General features: G+C 52.9%; 1 protein-coding gene across 5 annotated transcripts in view, besides 9 other annotated features; it reads right to left on the bottom strand.

Moving 5' to 3' along the window:
• ITPR3 (inositol 1,4,5-trisphosphate receptor type 3) overlaps window positions 1-7,652 on the bottom strand; it is a 75,241-nt gene extending 67,589 nt beyond the window's left edge. For 2 of the 5 annotated variants that reach the window (XM_047418731.1, XM_017010832.2), the window contains exons 1-2: window positions 7,626-7,652; window positions 7,283-7,408 (exon numbers count right to left, since the gene is read on the bottom strand). In XM_047418731.1, coding sequence (XP_047274687.1) covers window positions 7,283-7,371 — 89 coding nt within the window. In that variant the 5' untranslated portion in view covers window positions 7,372-7,408; window positions 7,626-7,652. Of the gene's footprint in view, window positions 1-4,583; window positions 5,629-7,105; window positions 7,186-7,282 lie in introns of those variants that run through there. The other 3 variants (NM_002224.4, XM_047418732.1, XM_047418734.1) reach the window with 3 other exon arrangements.
• Window positions 317-366: a silencer, noted in NCBI's record as "silent region_17051". NCBI's record gives its function as "represses an Ori minimal core promoter by ATAC-STARR-seq in GM12878 lymphoblastoid cells {active_cell/tissue: GM12878}" and the evidence as "EXISTENCE:reporter gene assay evidence [ECO:0000049][PMID:35858748]".
• Window positions 5,630-6,178: an enhancer, noted in NCBI's record as "H3K4me1 hESC enhancer chr6:33590573-33591121 (GRCh37/hg19 assembly coordinates)". NCBI's record gives its function as "activates a minimal SCP1, AML or CMV promoter by ChIP-STARR-seq in primed H9 embryonic stem cells {active_cell/tissue: H9 hESC(primed)}" and the evidence as "EXISTENCE:reporter gene assay evidence [ECO:0000049][PMID:30033119]".
• Window positions 6,179-6,728: an enhancer, noted in NCBI's record as "H3K4me1 hESC enhancer chr6:33590023-33590572 (GRCh37/hg19 assembly coordinates)". NCBI's record gives its function as "activates a minimal SCP1, AML or CMV promoter by ChIP-STARR-seq in primed H9 embryonic stem cells {active_cell/tissue: H9 hESC(primed)}" and the evidence as "EXISTENCE:reporter gene assay evidence [ECO:0000049][PMID:30033119]".
• Window positions 7,250-7,435: a silencer, noted in NCBI's record as "fragment chr6:33589316-33589501 (GRCh37/hg19 assembly coordinates)". NCBI's record gives its function as "represses an EF-1alpha promoter that drives an FKBP-Casp9 reporter gene in an ReSE screen in K562 erythroleukemia cells {active_cell/tissue: K562}" and the evidence as "EXISTENCE:reporter gene assay evidence [ECO:0000049][PMID:32094911]".
• Window positions 7,250-7,464: a biological region, named in NCBI's record as "ReSE screen-validated silencer GRCh37_chr6:33589316-33589501".
• Window positions 7,315-7,464: a silencer, noted in NCBI's record as "silent region_17050". NCBI's record gives its function as "represses an Ori minimal core promoter by ATAC-STARR-seq in GM12878 lymphoblastoid cells {active_cell/tissue: GM12878}" and the evidence as "EXISTENCE:reporter gene assay evidence [ECO:0000049][PMID:35858748]".
• Window positions 7,475-7,644: a silencer, noted in NCBI's record as "silent region_17049". NCBI's record gives its function as "represses an Ori minimal core promoter by ATAC-STARR-seq in GM12878 lymphoblastoid cells {active_cell/tissue: GM12878}" and the evidence as "EXISTENCE:reporter gene assay evidence [ECO:0000049][PMID:35858748]".
• Window positions 7,695-7,814: a silencer, noted in NCBI's record as "silent region_17048". NCBI's record gives its function as "represses an Ori minimal core promoter by ATAC-STARR-seq in GM12878 lymphoblastoid cells {active_cell/tissue: GM12878}" and the evidence as "EXISTENCE:reporter gene assay evidence [ECO:0000049][PMID:35858748]".
• Window positions 7,845-8,154: a silencer, noted in NCBI's record as "silent region_17047". NCBI's record gives its function as "represses an Ori minimal core promoter by ATAC-STARR-seq in GM12878 lymphoblastoid cells {active_cell/tissue: GM12878}" and the evidence as "EXISTENCE:reporter gene assay evidence [ECO:0000049][PMID:35858748]".

The following is an 18,306-nucleotide window of genomic DNA, read 5'->3' as shown; positions in this document are numbered from 1 at the left end:
TCCCTCCCATTACCTATATCACCCCCATCATCTATTTCTAGACTCATACTGGAGAAGAGGGCTCTCCTGCACTGTGCAGGAAGGGCTAATGGCTGGCTGGCTGGCGGGCTGGCTGGCTGAGCGATGGGGAGAGCAATTTGCTAACCAAATATGCACAGGTGTCTGCCTCAAGCACCTGCAGCTGCTCCTGGACTGAGATTTGTGTTGACAGCCCCTTCCGGCTCTGCCCACCTGCTGACCAAAAAAACATAGCACTCTGGCCATTTTACTCCCTCACTGAAGCCTCTGCAATGAGTCTCTCCTGACTGTCTCCCCAAGTGGAAATCCCTCTGTAATGTGGCATGTGGCTCCACCCAGTTCCATCCCCAGCCCACACCCTGGACTCACTGTGTTGTGAACGCCCAGCCTCATTTCTGCACCCACGATTTCTCTCACAGTCCCTAGCCTGAAAGGCCCTACAAACTTCTCTTCTCAGTCCCCTGCTGCGTGACCCCAAGCTCTCCAAGCCAGGTGTCCTGACTGCAGGGAATTGTGACTGCAGGTACAAATGCTGGGTGTCACTGGCACCTTTCGCATGACCAGCCTGACATACCCAGGGGGCTCAGAGCTCACATTCAGAGGCCTGTGATGAACTTAGTAGAGATCTGCGTTCTGCTTTCCTCCTTCCCCCACCCCAGGTTTCTTCCCTTCCACTCACACAGCCCTCACTCCCAGAGAGGGGTGTCCCAGCCCCACATGGGGTGAAGTCTAGAGAGCAGGGCTGGGGGTGGACATGCAGGGACTCCAGGCATGTGTGCAGAGGTCATCCAAACCCAGAAACCTCCCCCTAAGCTGAAAACAGAAAGCTGGTGTGGCCCCACCCTAAAACTCAGCATGTGTCCCCACCCCCAACCCAAGCCACCGCCCCAGTGGGCCAAGCTAGGGAGGGGATATGGGGTCAGGAATGTAGGGCAGGGCAGAGTGTAATCAAGTGGCTCCAGCAGGATTCTTTCAGGCCGGCAGGATTCAGGCCGAGCAGTTGGATGCAGCCTGAGACCCTGGAGTCTCAAGGTGGATGTGTGGCACTGGTTCTAGGCTGAGCCAACCCCGCGCCACCCCCTCTCCACTTCATCCCTTCTCCATCACATCCTCGCACTGCCTGGGAAGTGCCTAGTACCTAACCTTGAGGGCAGAGGCTGGTCTTACTCCCCACATGCTAGTGCAACACTCACACATGACATGAATCATGTCTGACCCTCTGTGGCACCAAGTTCTGTTCCTATACCCCTCCACCACCACAGAAACACAAAAAGTTAGACAGCCTAAGAGTTAAAGGTGTACCTTGTCTTTGATCTCCATTTCTGGGAACGTATTACCTGAGAGGATAACTATAACTAGACAAGTGTTCAGGCATGCATGCACTAGGATGTTCAGGGCAAATTGTTCTTAACAGCAAAAATTTACAAAGAGCCTGAATGTTGAATACTAGAGTTGCTTAAATAAATTAAGGTACAGCATACCATGGCTGTGCAGCCATAACAATGGTGTGTTGGCATGGGAAAATACAGCTCACTATATATATGCAAAAAAGGACAGGGTACAAAGCCATACGTGCAGTTTGATATTGTTTGTAAATGTTCATTTATGAATATAAAAGGCTAGAAGGTCATAGGGAATGTTCATGTAAGCCATAGTGGTATTACAGATCATTTTTTTGAGTTTTTCACATTTTCTCCATGGAATGTATATTTTTTTTTAATCTGAAAAAATATATATATTTTCAAAAAATGAGTTGCATGGATTAGGCTAAGACCAAGAATCTGCCTTGAGGTACAGAACAGAAGTCTAACATCTTCTTCCAATGAAATCACAATTAAATGAAAGCCAAGCCGGGTACAGTGGCTCATGCCTGTAATCCCAGCACTTTGGGAAGCCGAGGCAGGCAGATCACCTGAGGTCAGCAGTTCAAGACCAGCTTGACCAACATGGAGAAACCCCATCTCTACTAAAAATACAAAAAAATTAGCCGGGCGTGGTGGCACATGCCTGTAATCCCAGCTACTCGGGAGGCTGAGGCAGGAGAATCGCTTGAACCTGGGAGGCGAAGGTTGTGGTGAGCTGAGATTGTGCCATTGTACTCCAGCCTGGAAAACAAGAGCAAAACTCTCTCCAAAAAAATAAAAGAAAGAAAGCCAAGACAGGTCTGAAATCCACCCAGGGAATGCTATCAGCGAGGGAAAGGCAGTCCCCTGCTCCTGGAATTACATGTGTCTCAGACTTAAGGCTCAAAGGGCCCCACTGCACAGAACGGAACAAGCTGGACCTGTGCCTTGGGTACCACTGATTCTGCAGTGCCTAAAACAGTGCCTTGCCTAGCACATGGTAGATGCCTAATAAATGTTTGTTGAATGACATTATGAAGTCTGATGAGGGCAAAGAGATGGGCCTTCTGGGCTGAGGGGCAGGTAGACCTAGCAGGCAGGCTTCCTCACAGCCTGTCAGCCTGGGAGGGCCCCCAGATCAGGGATCCCGGCCCCAGGTACTCATTAAAACCACCTGGAGAACTTTTTAAAAATCTAACACCCAGACCTTAGCCCTAGAGATGGTGATTCAGTTGGTCTGGCATGGGACTTGGGAGCTGAAATTTTTTTTTTAATCCCCAGGTGATTCTCAGGTACAGCCAGAGCACCATAGAGGATAATGCAGGCTGACGGAAACTCACTCTGAGAAGGCAGGGCCTTGTTCAAAGCATCCAGCAACGGCCAGGCACGGCGGCTCATGCCTGTAATCCCAGCACTTTGGGAGGCAGAGGAGGGAGGATCACTTGAGCCCAGGAGTTTTAGATTAGCTTGGGCAGCAAGGGGAGACCCCATCTCTATAAAAAATACAAAAACTAGCCAGATGCGGTAGCACACGCCTGTAGTCCCAGCTACTCGGGCGGCTGAGTTGTAAGGATTGCTTGAGCCTGGGAGATTAAGGCTGCAGTGAACCCAGATCACACTACTGCATTCCAGCCTGGGTGACAAAGACCCCATTTCAAACAAAACAAAACAGAAACCACCCAACAAGTTGGTGATGGAACATGAGACAGACACCCTTCCTGAGAGCTATGCCTCTGAGGTTTCCGACCTAGGGATCCTGAGCCTGGAGACCTGGGGCTTCGTCTATATTCACCCCCATACTTCTTGGGTCCTGACCTCCAGGGAAGCAGGTCAGGCTGGCAGGTAGACAGAGAATCCCATGGGTAAGAGGCAGCATCTCCTACTCACTATGATTACCCAGCCCTGGGTGATCCAGGTCCAGAGGCCCTGAGAGCTCCAAATAGGCTCCAAGGCTGAGCCATGGGTGGGCAGAGGCACTTTGACAAATGTTGAAAGCTCAGCTCCAAGACCCAGTTCACCTGCACTCCCCCAGTTTACTTTCTGTGGGTCTGGGGCTACCTCTCTGGGTACTCATAAGAGATCTTCGCCAGGCACAGTGGCTCGCGGCTGTAATCCCAACACTTTGGGAGGCCGAGGCAGGCGGATCATCTGAGGTCGGGAGTTTGAGACCAGCCTGACCAACATGGAGAAACCCAGTCTCTACTAAAAATACAAAATTAGCTGGGTGTGGAGGCACATGCCTGTAATCCCAGCTACTCGGGAGGCTGAGGCAGAAGAATCGCTTGAACCCAGGAGGCTGAGGTTGCAGTGAACTAAGATCGCCCCATTGTACTCCAGCCTGGGCAACAAGAGTGAAACTCTGTCTCAAAAAAAAAAAAAGAGATCTTCAAGAGATGACTTGAGATCCTGATGGGTCCACCCTGTGTACCCAAGGCCAGTTCTCCCTAGCCACTGGCCTGAGGCCACATTCAATCCTCCACTTTTTGTTGGCCCTAATCAGCTACTCCATCCCTGGCCTCTGCTGCTCCCACCTAGGGTAAGGGATAAAGCAGTGGCATTGGCCTTGCTCTCCTGCCAAGAACAGGCGTGGGCCTGCTTTCCCTTGCTGGCCGGCTGGCAGTCTCAACCGCTCCTGGATCCACTACCCAGATCCCTCCCATCCTTCCCACCTAGAGTTAATGTACAATCTTCACTAGGACCTCTAATTCTCCAGGAGGCTCTAATTGGCCTCGTCCACTTTGCACTGAAGAGCTCTGGCCAGAATCTGAATGCTGCCTCTGCCTCCCTCCCCAACTAATGCCCCCTTCCCATCTCCCAGGTGACCTGGCCCATCTGCCCACCAAGGCCACCCCTGCCTTCAACACATTCATTTTTATCCAGCCCTTACTGGGTACCTCCTGGGGCCCACACACTGGGCACTGGGTTAGCCCAGGAATTCAGTCAAATCAGCCTATGGGTTCACAGACATGGGCACCAACAGCCTCGGGAAAAGCAGAGGGGACCAGAGTTCAGAAAGGAGGCAGAAGGATTCTGAGGAGGATGGGGCAGAGAGAAAATCACTCAGAGCAACGCTCCTCACACTTTAATGCACCAGTCCCCTGGGGATCTTAATAAAATGCAGATTCTCATTCAGTAGGACGGGCACGGGGTCTGAGATTCTGCATTTCTGACAAACTTCCTGGTGACGCTGAAGCTGCTGGACTGATTACTTACAGCACTTACAAATCATTCCTTCTTTGACTCTTAACTTCCAAGGAAGCAGGAAGCACAGCTCCCTTAATCACCACCAAGTCCCCAGCACCCAGTACAGTGCCTGTAGACCTGCTAAATATATGAATGGTGTTAATCCTGGCAAGGTGCCCAGCATTAGATGGGCCTACAGGGAAGCCTCCAATGTGAGGAACACCAGAGAGTGGTTTGTACAAAGCAGTTCAAAAGCATAGAGGACGAAGGGTTAATTCTGCCCTAGGGGTTGGGGAAGCTGGATTTCTCAAAAGAGGCCACTTTGCATTAAGCCTTAGAGGGTGGGACAGATTTACCCAGGTGGAGACTTGCTTGCTAAAGGGCGGGAACAACCCAAGAGCAAAGGTAAAGAGACTGAGAGCGCGGGACAGGTTGCAGTCGTGTGGTGCACCTGGAGTTCCAGGTATGGGAAGGTGAAAAAGCCCCAGAAAATTATGATGCAGACCTGCACAGGCCGATGCTAGAAAGCCATGCTAGGAGGGTGGACATCCGCTGGTGGAACATCAGGAGATGTTGGAGGTGTTTGCAGAGGGAGGGGGTACCCCGGCGTAGAAGGGCTTTCTAGAGGTCACCAGGATCTGCCCCAGGATCAAGGTGGACTGGAGGAAGCAGTTCCTGGGGCAGGAAGGGCCAAGCTGGGAGGAAGTTTTGGAGGCAACAGAGGGAATCCTTTGTGAGGGAGTGAGGCCTGCACAAGGGCAGGGGAAGAAGCAATAAGATGTTTTCCCTGATCTTGTTAAATCTCACAGGTGCTAGGCAGGGCACGGTGGTTCACGCACTTTGGAAGGCTGGGGTGGGCGGATTGCTTGAGCTCAGGAGTTAGAGACCAGCCTGGGCAACATGGTGAAACCCAGTCTCTACAAAAAAAATACAAAAATTAGCCGGGTGTGGTGATGTGCCTGTAGTCCCAGCTAGTTTTGGGAGCTGAGGCAGGAGGATTGCTTGAACCCCAGAGGTCGAGGCTGCAGTAAGCCAAGATTGCATCACTGCATTCTAGCCTGAGTGAGAAAGTGAGACCTTGTCTTAAAAAAAAAAAAAAAAAACAAAACTCACAGGCACTTGAAAATCATCATGTGTTCAGCCCCAAGCCAGGCACTAAGCAACAGAGGTGGTCATTTCCCAAAAGTCCCTGGTGCTCTTCAGACACTAGGAGGGGACTTCCACGATAGATCCCTATGTCCCTCCCAGTCCCCACACCCTCTCCTCCTTCCCTCAGCTTTATCAGAGGTGTTTACTCTGTACCTACTGTGGGCAGCCCTGGCCTCAGGGCAGCCAGGGCCTAGTCACTGCTCTCTGGAGGAGGCCTGCACAAATGCTGGCCCAGATGTGGCTCCACCCCCATCCTCTAGGGAGCTGGGAAGAAGTTAGATCTAGTGGAAGTGGGGACAAATAGGCAGGGATTCCACGTGTGAAGGGGAGGGCACCAGGAGGGACCTGGATGGTTCTGCGAGAAGGCGAGCAGGGCAGGCTGGAATGCCAGGTGAGAACTCCCTGCTTGGCAGAGCCAGCCCTCCAATCCCACAATCCATTCCCTTTACACCAAGATGAAAGCTAAACTCCCAGCAACCCTGGGAGAGACCAGTGACCCCTCACCTCCCAGGCTTGGGGTGAGCCGGGCCCTGTCCAGCATCAGTCCTGAGCTGAGGGTGCCAGGTTGTCCTCCAAGGCCATCAGAAAGAAGGCACCACGCGGCTGGCTGGTCCCACTCAGTGGATCAGCAGAGGAGGGTGGGTGTACCCTAGAGGACAGCCATGTGTGGTTGGGAGGATGAGACAATTTAACCCAGGCCCCCAGACTGTAAACGGGACAAAGATAGCCGACCCTGCCCTGGGGTCTGGCTGGAGAAACCACCTACGCTCCCATCCAGCGAATCACATCCAGCTGCTCCTCTGAAGATAAACCCATCCTCTCTACCTAATTTCTCTCCTGCCCTCTCCCTGCTACAGGCCTGGCCCTCTCCAGGGACGTGAACTGATTCCCTGTTCATCCAGCCCAGACCCTGGGAGGTGGCGGCCAGAATTAATTAATGTTTGTGAAGTGCTGGAGAGAAGCTAGAACCAAGGACCCAAGGGCGCCAGATGACCGGCGCAGGAAATTGAATGGGAGAGGCGGGGAGAAGGGGCAGCTGGCCAGGACCTTGAAGCCTGGAAGGGGAGGGCTGAGAAGACACTCCTACTGAAGCTGGGAAGAACAGGGAGAGAGCTGTGAGGAGAAGGTGCGACCCCTCAAAGGCACCACGGGATCGGTAATAGAGGATTACGGGCTCCAAGCTGAGCCTGCCCACTCCCGACAGCTCCGCCCTACCCTCAGAGCCGGGCACGTCTCGGCCCGGCTGCCCTTCCCCAACTCAGCCTCCAGCCACCCACCTGCCCGCCCCCGGGACCACCTGCAAAGGAAGCCTCCGTCCCTCCGCCCCCTCCAAAGGCGTGCGCGGGAGGGTAGAGGCTGCGCCGCCGAGGGAGGCTCCTCCTGCCAACTCCAGTAGGGAGCCCGAGTCCTACCTGAGCAAACACTTCACTTCCTTTCTGTAAAAGAAGGAGGCGAGCCGTTCCCGCTCCTTGAGACTAGGGGGACGTCCAGGCCTCTATCGGGGGGCGGCGGCTGGACGCACGCAGCTGGCACCAGGGCCCACGGCGCCCCCTCTTTACCCGCGCCCCTCTCGAGCTCGGCTCACTCACCCCAAAGTGCTGATGAAGCCATTGACGGAGCCCTCGGCGTACAGGGAGACGATGTCCCCGATGTGAAGAAAGCTGGACATTTCACTCATGGCTGCGGCCCTCCGGGGCCCAGGGCGTGGGGGGCGCCTAGGGGCGCGTGGCCAAGCTCAGTGCGGAGGACTGAGGCGTCCGGGGAGCGGGGAGGGGTACGCTCCCACCTCGGATCCCGACGCTCGGTGCGGCCGGGGCGGGCTGGCGGCCACGGGAGCCAGGAGGCGGCTCGGCGGGGCCCGGGGTCCGGGTGAGGAGGTGCCCACGTCTTGGCGCGCCCGCCGCCCGCCCGCCCCGCCCGGCCCGCGCGTACCTGCAGCGTAGAAGGAGCAGGAAGTCTGGGGCCACCACACACATGCAAATCCCGCCCGGGAGGCGGGGAGGCCACACCCCGCCCCCCCTCCCCCCGCAGCTCGCCCGCCGGCACCCATGTGCACCCGCCTGCCTTCCCGCGCCCCGCGCTCCTCGCGCGTCCGGGGCCCGGCCTCCCGGACGCCGAATGCGCCGCCAGCCCTCCTGATCTCCAGAGGCGTCCTGCAAGGCACCGGGTCTAGGGGGCTCTCGGAGCTGCCATCCCTGGGAGGCCCAGGCGTAGTGGGGAGCTCTCCGCCCTCGGGGTTCCCGGACTATCTGCACCCGGGCCCTCGGCTGGCTAAGAGCCAGTGCAGGCGCCCGCGGAAGGGGGAGTCCAGCTCTCCGGCGGGCGTCACCCCGGAGCCGCTCGCGGAGGGCGCGCCCTGGAGCGCCCTGGCCGCGGCCGCCCTGCGGCCACCGCGCGGTCTCCGCGCCCAGCTGAGAGCAGGCTGGCGCCCAGAGGCGCGCTCATCCCTTTGCAGAGCAAATTCGGGATTCATTTTTCTCAACGTGAAAAGCCTTTTCATTGCACAATAGAAAGTGCTCAGGCTTGGAGGGGAAATGAAGCAATGGGGTGGGTTTTGTTTTTTTTCTCTCCGCATTCCTGTGTACAAAGAGATCCAACTTCCGAATCAGTTCAGCCGCTCCCTCTCCAGGAGTTGGCTCCAAAACTCTTGGCTCCTTCCGTCTTTCCTTTCAAAAAAAAAAAAAAAGCAGGGATGAAAATTACCTTCGCTAGTTGACAGAGCACCCAAGCGCTAACGATGCCAAGTCTGGGTGCCGGCCCCCTGGGAGTGACCCGCTGCGGCAGCGCCGCCAGGCTCTGGCTCCCGAAGTCCTGCCCTCAAATTCGCGTCCCGGGCTCGCTTACTTTCTGTTCTGTTCCCCGGTGCTTGGGTGTTTGCTTCCTAGTCCTTTATTTGAACGCCTAAGATAGGGTGCCCATTGCCACCGCCATCCGATCACTTTTGCTCCCTTCGGACCCCCCAACCCCACTTCCTGAGTTGTGGGGGGGCGTTTGTCCCTGGGAGAGAGGGAGGAGGGGACTCGGTGACTGAAGCAGGAAGAAGAGAGGCTAGGGGAGGGGTGGAGACAGCTAAAAGCAAAGAGACAGCTGCTGACCCTGGGAGGAGAAGAGCCCCAGGCAGTGGTTTTTTTGTTGTTGTTGTTGTTTTGTTTGTTTGTTTGTTTGTTTGTTTTACGAAGACCCCCAGGAACGATGTGGGAGGGAAGGACACCTCCAGGATCGCTAAGTACCGTGTTTTACAGTTTTGTTTTGTTTTTTCACCATGGCAAACAGTAACAAGTTTTACAGCAGACCAGTCCACACCTTCGTCTATATATAAGCAAAACAATAGATCACCAAACAATACTTACTTTTATGACCTTTGATGCATGCTGATATTTTCTATTCTATTTCAGTTGTGTTCTTGTTGTTGCTTTAATGCTGATTGTAACCCACTGAACTGGTTTTTTTTAATGTCCCAAATGGGTTGCAAACTGCAGTTTAAAAAACCTCATCCAGTCCACTGTGCCAAAAAGAGATGACCAAAGCCCAGAGAAGGAACACCACCCATCAAGGGCACACGGCAGGTTCCTGGCAACTGGAGGCAGAAGCCAACCAAGCCTCTGATTTTTAGCCGGGTATTCTCCTATTACCCCACACCAACTGAGCCACAGCGATGGGTCACTGGAACCTCACTGAGAAGGGGCAGCCCCTGGGACAGTTTCACTTGCTCCCAGGAGTCAGGCCTCCTGTATCATCCCCAAAAGTTAGAAGGGAAAAATATGCCTTCATTCCATAAGCATTTATTGAAGGCCTGTGATGTCAGGCCTCTGCTGGGCACCAGGCTCTGATCAAGCTGTCAGCCTGGGCCCAATTGCCTTTTTCCCTTCCCCAGACCGTGAGGATGAAGAGGGACAAGTTGAAAACTTGCCTCCAGTGGCCACACTCAGAACTTGTGCCACAGCCACACCCAGGAATCCACCTCCTTCCTCCCCTGACATCCATATAGATGGTTCCATAACTCAGCCGAGGTGTAGCAGCCAGGAATGGAGGTCACTCCACTTTGGGTCTCTCTGGACTAAAGCACATGGCCTTGTTTCTCCCCACCCCTCCCCATCCTAGGAATACTTAGAGCCTCTGTCTCTCCACCAACCAGGAGGTCTCAGAGGTGAGGGCTCTGGGCCCCTGTCACCTGCTTCTTCCAAATCAGCTCCACTGTAAGCTATTTTATATACCTGCGTTCTGAGTTAGAATTTGTTTCAAGAAAGTTTCTGTTGGTTAAACAACAACAACAAAGACCAAAGTTTAAGAAACAGATGGTACAGCTCCAATGAGTTCCCTCCCCTGCTTCCTGCTTGAAGCCTTCCTATGCCTCCTCACTGCCCACAGAAGTCTACAGACCTGAGCCCAGCACACTGGACCCTCAAGTCTTGCTGTCCTCCCACCCTCTGCAGAAAACACAATTGCTCCTCAAGGAGGATCCATGCTGTAGACTGGCCAAGAGTGCAGACTCTGGCTCCCTTTTTTTTTTTTTTTTTTTTTTTAGACGGAGTCTCACTCTGTCGCCCAGGCTGGAGTGCAGTGGCGCAATCTCAGCCCACTGCAACCTCCACCTCCCAGGTTCAAGCAATTCTCCTGCTTCGGCCTCCCGAGTAGCTGGGATTACAGGTGCCCGCCACCACACCCGGCTAATTTTTGTATTTTTAGTAGAGACAAGTTTTCACCATGTTGGCCAGGATGGTCTCAATCTCTTGACCTCATGATCCGCCTACTGCGGCCTCCCAAAGTGCTGGGATTACAGGTGTGAGCCACCACGCCTGGCCCGGACTCTGACTCTTACAGGCCTGGATTAGAGTCCCAGCTCTGCCACTTTCTAGCAGGCATTCTCTCAGCCTGTTTGCTCATCTGTTAAATGGAGAGAGTACCATACCAACATGTGAAGGAAGTGTGAGCCATCAGCACAGCATCCCAGGCAGGAAGGACTCAGTGTGTCCCTTCTCATTTCCCCAGGACCTCATCCACTCATACCCCTGTGCCTGCGCTCCTGTGGCTCTCTCTAGCACTTCACCTTTTCAAGTTCCCATGGTCAGAATAAAGTCTTCTTCCCTAAAGTACTGGAGCACTAATCTTTTAAGTACTATTATGAAATATTTTAAGAAGTAATAGATAAAAATACAGTGAGTGCCTGTATCTTTCCTCTAGCTTTGTCAAATCTTTGTATTTTGCCAAATTTGGTTCTTTTTTTTTTTTTTTTTAAGAATTAAAACTTAGGCCGGGCACGGTGGCTCATGCCTATAATCCCAGCACTTTGGGAAGCCAAGGCAGGCAGATCACCTGAGGTCAGTAGTTCACGGCCAGCCTGGCCAACATAGTGAAACCCCATCTCTACCAAAAATACAAAAATTAGCCAGGCATGGTGGCATATGCCTGTAGTCCCAGCTACTCGGGAGGCTGAGGCAAGAGAATCACTTGAACCCAGGAAGTGGAGGTTGCAGTGAGCCGAGATCATGCCACTGCACTGCAGCCTGGGCGACAGAGTGCAGTTCAATCTCAAAAAAAAAAAAAGAATTAAAACTTAAAAAATTTCAGTTGTGTCCAGGCAAGGTGGCTCACATCTAATCCCAGCACTTTGGGAGGCCGAGTCTGGAGGACCACTTTTGCCCGGGAGTTCAAGACCAGCCTGGGCAACATGGCAAAACACTGTCTCTAAAAAAAAAAAAAAAAAAAAATTAGCCAGGCATGGTCGTGTGCACCTGTAGTCCCAGCTACTTGGGAAGCTGAGGTGGGAGAATCACCTGAGCCCAGGGAGATCAAGGAGGCTGCAGTGAGCCATGATTATGCCACCGCACTCCAGTCTGGGTGACAGAGTGAGATCCTGTCTTAAAAAGAAAAAAGATCAGTTGAAGTTCCTTATGCACCCTTCTCCAACTACATTCTCTCCCTCCAGAGACAGCCACTATCCTGATTTGGGTGGGTTTCATTTCATGCAGCTTTTTATGTTTGTATCGCATTTCAATGTATCCATAAAACAATGTATGATATCACATTGCAGGGTCTTATATTTTGTATAAATGTTATCACCCTGTGTGCATCCTTTGACACATAGCTACTGTGTGATAGTCTACTTCCTGACCACATCACAATTGCTTTATCCATTTTGCTGGTGACAGGTCTCAGATAAAGACTTATCAAAGTTTTGCTATTGCAACAGTTTTGCAATAAACATTCTTGTCTCCTTATGCACAGACCTGCGTGTCTCTAGGGCAATGTTGTTCAAACTATGGATTGAGGCCCATTAATGTGTTAGGAAATCAACTTAGTGGGTGAAGATCAGCTTTTTTTTTTTATTTTTTTTTAGATGGAGTCTCGCTCTGTCGCCCAGGCTGGAGTGCAGTGGCACGATCTCAGCTCACTGCAAGCTCCACCTCCCTGGTTCACACCATTCTCCTGCCTCAGCCTCCCGAGTAGCTGGGACTACACGCGCCCGCCACCATGCCCGGCTAATTTTTTATATTTTTAGTAGAGACGGGGTTTCACCATGTTAGCCAGGATAGTCTCGATCTCCTGCCCTCGTGATCCGCCTGCCTTGGCCTCCCAAAGTGCTAGGATTACAGGCATGAGCCACCGTGCCCGGCCAAGATCAGCATTTTTAAAACTCAAAATCGACTAGGAAATATCAATGTTTGTAACACATCATCAGTGTAACTAGTAGGGTGAAAGTTGTCTGTTGTGTGGTATGTGTGCTGTGGGTCACAATATATTTCTTATTGAGGATACTTGTCAAAAAGCCGGAAAAGCCCTGCTCTAGAGTAAAAACTTAGAAAGTACAATTGCTGGATTATAGAGAAGGTGCACTGTCAACCTCCGAGGAGTTGCCAAATTATTGTCCAACTTGGATGTTCTAATTTACCCTCTTGCCAGCTACATGGGAATGTGCCCAGTGAACCATATCCTCACCAACACAGACTTTGTAACATGAGATTTCTTTATTCCCCCACTATCAGAGAACATATCATGAGCCATCTTGGATTGAAACACTCAGTTCTTTCTGGGCTCCCTGAGCCAACTGTTAGCTAGATGAAGGAACACTTCACTTCACTTCACTTTGTGTCTCCAGACCAAGTCAGGAAAATAGTAAGTGCTTGCTTGGCAGGGTGCAGTGGCTCACACCTGTAATCTCAGCACTTTGGGAGGCCAAGGTGGACGGATCACTTGAGGTCAAGAGCTCAAGACCAGCCTGGCAAACGTGGTGAAACCCCATCTCTATTAAAAATACAAAAATTGGCTAGCGGGGTGGCTCACGCCTGTAATCCCGGCACTTTGGGAGGCCGAGGCAGGTGGATCACCTGAGGTCAGGAGATCAAGACCATCCTGGCTAACATGGTGAAACCCCATCTCTACTTAAAATACAAAAAATTAGCTGGGCATGGTGGCAGGTGCCTGTAGTCCCAGCTACTTGGGAGGCTGAGGCAGGAGAATGGTGTGAACCCAGGAGGCGGAGCTTGCAGTGAGCCGAGATCGTGCCACTGCACTCCAGCCTGGGCAACAGAGTGAGACTCCATCTCAAATAAATAAATAAACAAATAAATAAAAAATAAAAATACAAAAATTAGGCCGGGTGCGGTGGCTCACGCCTGTAATCCCAGCACTTTGGGAGGCCGAGGCAGGTGGATCACTTGAGGTCAGGAGTTCGAGATCAACCTGGCCAACATGGTGAAACCCTGTCTCTACTAAAAATACAAAAGTTAGCCAGATGTGGTGGCAGGCGCCTGTAGTCCCAGCTTCTCGGGAGGCTGAGGCAGGAGAATCACTTGAACCCGGGAAGCAGAGGTTGCAGTGAGCCGAGATCGTGCCATTGCACTCCAGCCTGGGTAACAAGAGCAAAATTCCCTCTCAAAAAAAAAAGAAAGAAAATAGTAAGTGCTCAATAAATCTGTGTGGAATTGAACTGTCAGGGAGAAAGAGGTGGGGAAAGTATATAAACTACACCAGGAGATACATACACAAGGAGACTGTGGGAGCCCCAGCTTGGGGTGTCACGTGCCTGGGTCCCCTGGGTGGGGAGTACAGAGCTCCCAGAGATGCTCTAAGGAATTGGGAAGAGCTGATGGGCTGCACCTCTTCTGAGTGGCTTGAGTGGAATGCTGTTAAGCTGGGGCCAAGTTCAGGCCCAGGAAGGAGGTCACCATCATCCCCTTCATGACCAATCTGCCCGGCCCAGGCCCCAACCTCAATGGCTGGGTATCTCCCAGCACCCACTAGCCCCACCTCCCAAAGGGAATAAGAAGCTCTGATTAGGATTCCCAGGAAGCCAGTGATTTTAGGGGTCTCTGCGTGGGAGGTCTGGGGGCCAGAGACTGGTGAAAGGATCACTTTTTACCCTATCTCTTTTTAAAACTTTTTTTTTTGAGACGGAGTTTTGCTCTTGTTGCCCAGGTTGGAGGGCAATGGCATGATTTCGGCTCACTGCAACCTCGCCTCCTGGGTTCAAGCAATTCTCCTACCTCAGCCTCCCAAGTAGCTGGGATTACAGGCATGCACCACCAAGCCCAGCTAATTTTTTGTATTTTTAGTAGAGATGGGGTTTCATCATGTTGGCAGGCTGGTCTCAAACTCCTGTCCTTAGATGATCCACCTGCCTCAGCCTCCCAAAGTGCTGGGATTACAGGTGTGAGCCACTGTGCCCAGCTTTAAAACTTTTACATTTCAGACTATGTGGCTGTATAACCTATAACCAAAAATAGATACAAATAAAGATGTTCAAAGCATTAACCCCAAGCTCCAAGTGCCAGCAGAACGCCCCCAGGAAACCCTCCTCCTACACTCTGCATCCACCCTGGGCCTGAGAAGGCAAGGAAAGGAAGGCAGGCAGTGCCCAGACCTTCTCCCTGACTCAGGAGAGGACACTGGGGCCGGGGAAGGGGACTGGGATCTGGGGAGGGGAAAGCAGCTCTGAACCTAGGTGTCCTCCACCAATGTCCTTCTTTCCCCTCCATCTTCTAGAGACTTGCTCTCAGCTCTGCTGTGTGGCTTTGCACAAGGATCAGACCTCTCTAAGTCTCAGTGTCCACCTTGTTGTAAACAGGGTTCACATCACCTTCCCAGATTCCACCCTTGGCTCTGACTGTTCTTTAAGCTCTGACTGGCCCTCTCTGACTGTGATAGGGAGGCATAGGAGAACACCCTCTTTATGGCAGCTGGCTGTGCAGACAGATAGTCTCGTGGTTGGGGGCAGATAATCGGGAGTTCTCAAGGGCTCCTCTGACCCTCAGTCCTGATTTGACAGCAGGGCCAAGCAGGGCGGGGCGAGGCCGGGCCAGAAGGCCTGACTCAGTGTAGCAGCCATCCGGCTGGGTCACCCGCCGTGGGTGGGGTGCCAATCCAGGCCCGCTGGGGTTCCCAGAGAATTCCTTCCCCATGCCATAAGCTGCCCTGGGCAAGCACCGCAGCCCACAGTAACCATTTAGCCACAGCCAGGGAGAGTGTACAGGGCTTCCTGCCCCAGAAGCCTACACACACACACACACACACACACACACACCGTTATACACTTTCACACTCATACACCAACACTTTCACTCACATACTCTCATCCACATACTCAGACACACTGGCACACCCGATTTCTTGGGAAGGCTAGAAAGGAGACAGAACTTGTTCTGTTTTCCTCACCCCCACCCCCATGCCCCAGTCATCAATGCCACATCTATTTCTTTCAGATATTTGCTAACCACCTACCACATGCAAGGGACTGGAGGAATGCAGCCAGCTAACTCCAACACGTGGTCCTAGCCTGGTGAAGCAAAAGATGAAAGCCAGCCGCTGCCGAGATTCCCACCAGCCACAGAAGAAAGCCTGCCCCTTGCCCTCTTCTGGTGTTGGCCTTGGAATAAGCCCCCTGGTGCTGGAGTCCTGAAACCAAGGGGCCGCTACTCCAGGTCTTCCCCAGGCTGACACTCCATTACTAGGTGCCCCCTCCTCCTCTCCTCTGAGAGGATAGGTCATAGGGTAGGTAACCTATGACATCTCCCGGGGCACCTTCACAGTCACAGTGAAAAACAAGTCCTGGGCTGGGTGCGGTGGCTCACACCTGTAATCCCAGCACTCTGGGAGAATGAGGTGGGTGGATTACAAGGTCAGGAGTTCAAGACCAGCCATGGCCAACAGCCCCATCTCTACTAAAAATACAAAAATTAGCCAGGTGTGGTGGTGGGAGCCTGTATCCCAGCTACTCAGGAGGCTGAGGCAGAGAATTGCTTGAACCCAGGAGGCAGAGGTTGCAGTGAGCCGAGATTGCTCCACTGCACTCCAGCCTGGGCGACAGAGCAAGACTCTGTCAAAAAAAAAAAAAAAAAGAAAGAAAGAAAGAGAGGGAGGGAGGGAGGGAGGGAGGAAGGAAGGAAGGAAGGCAGGCAGGCAGGCAGGCAGGAAGGAAGGAAAGAAAGAAAGAAAAAGAAAAACAAGTCCTGGAGCAAAATTACTGGAGTCCTAGCCCCAGCCACTAACAGGGTAGAGAAGCTCCCAGTCTCTCTGGGTCTCCATTTCCTTCTATGTAAAATAAAAATATAGACCTGTAACTGCCAGGTCCTGGCAGGAAGTTGGCAACACACCCCCAACAGGTGATTAAAGAGAGGTTAGTGGACTGGCATGGTGGCTCATACCTGTAATCCCAGCACTTTGGGAGGCCGAGGCAGGTGGATCACTTGGGGTCAGGAGTTCGAGACCAGCCTGACCAACATAGTGAAAACCTGTCTCTAACTAAAAATACACAAATTAGCCAGGCGTGGTGGTGCATGCCTGTAGTCCCAGCTACTAGGGATGCTGAGGCACAAGAATCATGTGAACCCGGGAAGCGGAGGTTGCAGTGAGCCAAGATCGTACAACTGCACTGCAGCCTGGGTGACAGAGTGAGACTCTGTCTCAAAAAAAAAAAAAAAGAGGTTGGTGAATGGATGGATTTGCAGAGGTGTGGGCACCAAGGGTAGTGCAGCACCCTGGAGCTGGCAACTGCAGGAAGCTGTTACCACTCAGGCCTGAAAAGGCCAAGGAGGGGAATACAGCCTTCCAGAGGGCAAGGACCAGACACTGCCAGCCTGGTCTTGGAAGCAGGGACCTGATGGAACAGATACCCCCACCTCTCTCTCTCCTCCACCCTCCAGTCTCTTACCAGTGCCTCCCATTGGCAGAGCTTAATGAGAAACCAGAGGGCAGGGGAGCTGGGTGATTCAGGCCACAAAAGTCAGCCTTTTGGGGCACAGAGCCAGGGCAGAAGAGTGGGCAGAGGAGCTGGAGGGGCAGATAGAAATATCTAGCATAAGTAACTACTTTGTAAAACACCTAGCTCAGTCAACAAATATTGTCTGTAATTGTCATTATTTGCCTACATCTGAGGATTCTAAAAAAAAAAAGACAAGTGCGTGTAGATCTAAAGGAATGACCATCTAACGGTGGAATTTTGTTTTGTATGGATGACCAAGAATAGGACATGTATAAGGCAAGATTTTATCAAGATCTCCACAAATCAGGCCTCCAAGTCCCCTTCCCTGTTTAGTAATCAGTTTTTGAGTGCCTGTTACACCCGCTGGATAGGAGGAGGAAGCTGGGGGTCTGGGCTGAGCTGCCAAGCCCCCAGAGTTCTGAGTCTGAGTTGGGAGTGGCGGGGATTACAGTGGAGGCTAATTACAGTTCCGAGTTGCCCTCTGAGGTCATCCCATCCTGAAGCCCAGGTTGGCATCCCGGCAGGAGCTCCCAAGGAGAGGGAGTGGCCTCTGGCCATTCTTCCTTTCTCCAGACTCCGAAGGGGGACCCTGCACGAGGAGGGAAGCGGCGCAGGTCTCTGTGAGTGTGCGCAGGCCTTGGCACTTCACCTGCCAACAAGAAAGGTGGGTTGGGAGGGGAAGCATCAGCCCTGTGATCCTGTTGAGAAAGGAGAGCAGCATGGAAAACTTCCCCGGGGGCAGGGCCAGGCACGAAGGAGCAGGCTTTGTCTGACAGAGACAGAGGTGAAAAGCATGACGTCAAGTCCACCTGGGCTGGGCCTGGCCTCTAGCCGCACCCCACCCCACCTTGGCAGGACTAAGGCCCTCCCAGCCAGTCCTTGCCCTGGCTGCCCGGCCAAAGCTGGGAATGGATGAAATAGAGGGGTTCACACACTATACAGGACCTGCTCCTGCGCCGGGTTTGTCAGCCTGTTTCCGAATCATTCAGAAGGAAAAGGTCATGCATCCAGGGCTGTGCCTTCCGAGGGGGCAGGGAGGGGTCACAGCTGAGGCTCCAGAGTGGAGAGGGAGAGAAAGGCCTGCTGTTTGTAAAAGCTGAGCAGACACTGGGGCCCTTGTCCTGGGGCAGCGGGGGAGGCTGCTGGCCAGATGTAGAGCAGGCCTGGCCTGAGCAGTCGGCCTCTTCCTCCCACAGCCCCACCGGCTGCTGGGCCAGCCTAAGAACAGAGGAGACCTGACTGAGGTCTGCAGGAGTGCAACCCCCAACCTCCAGCCAGGCACCAGAATGCCGAGGCAACCAGGGCACTCAGAAGCATCCCCAGGCGCTGAGGCCCTGGCGCTGCAAAAATCCTCAAGAGTCTGGCCTTCAAAGTTGGGCAGGTTTTCTCTGGAAGGGGCTCTCCAGTCTGTGGTTG

This window comes from Homo sapiens, chromosome 6, assembly GCF_000001405.40.
Source record: "Homo sapiens chromosome 6, GRCh38.p14 Primary Assembly".
Taxonomy (NCBI): Eukaryota; Metazoa; Chordata; class Mammalia; order Primates; family Hominidae; genus Homo; species Homo sapiens.
This window is presented reverse-complemented; position numbering and strand designations above follow the sequence as displayed.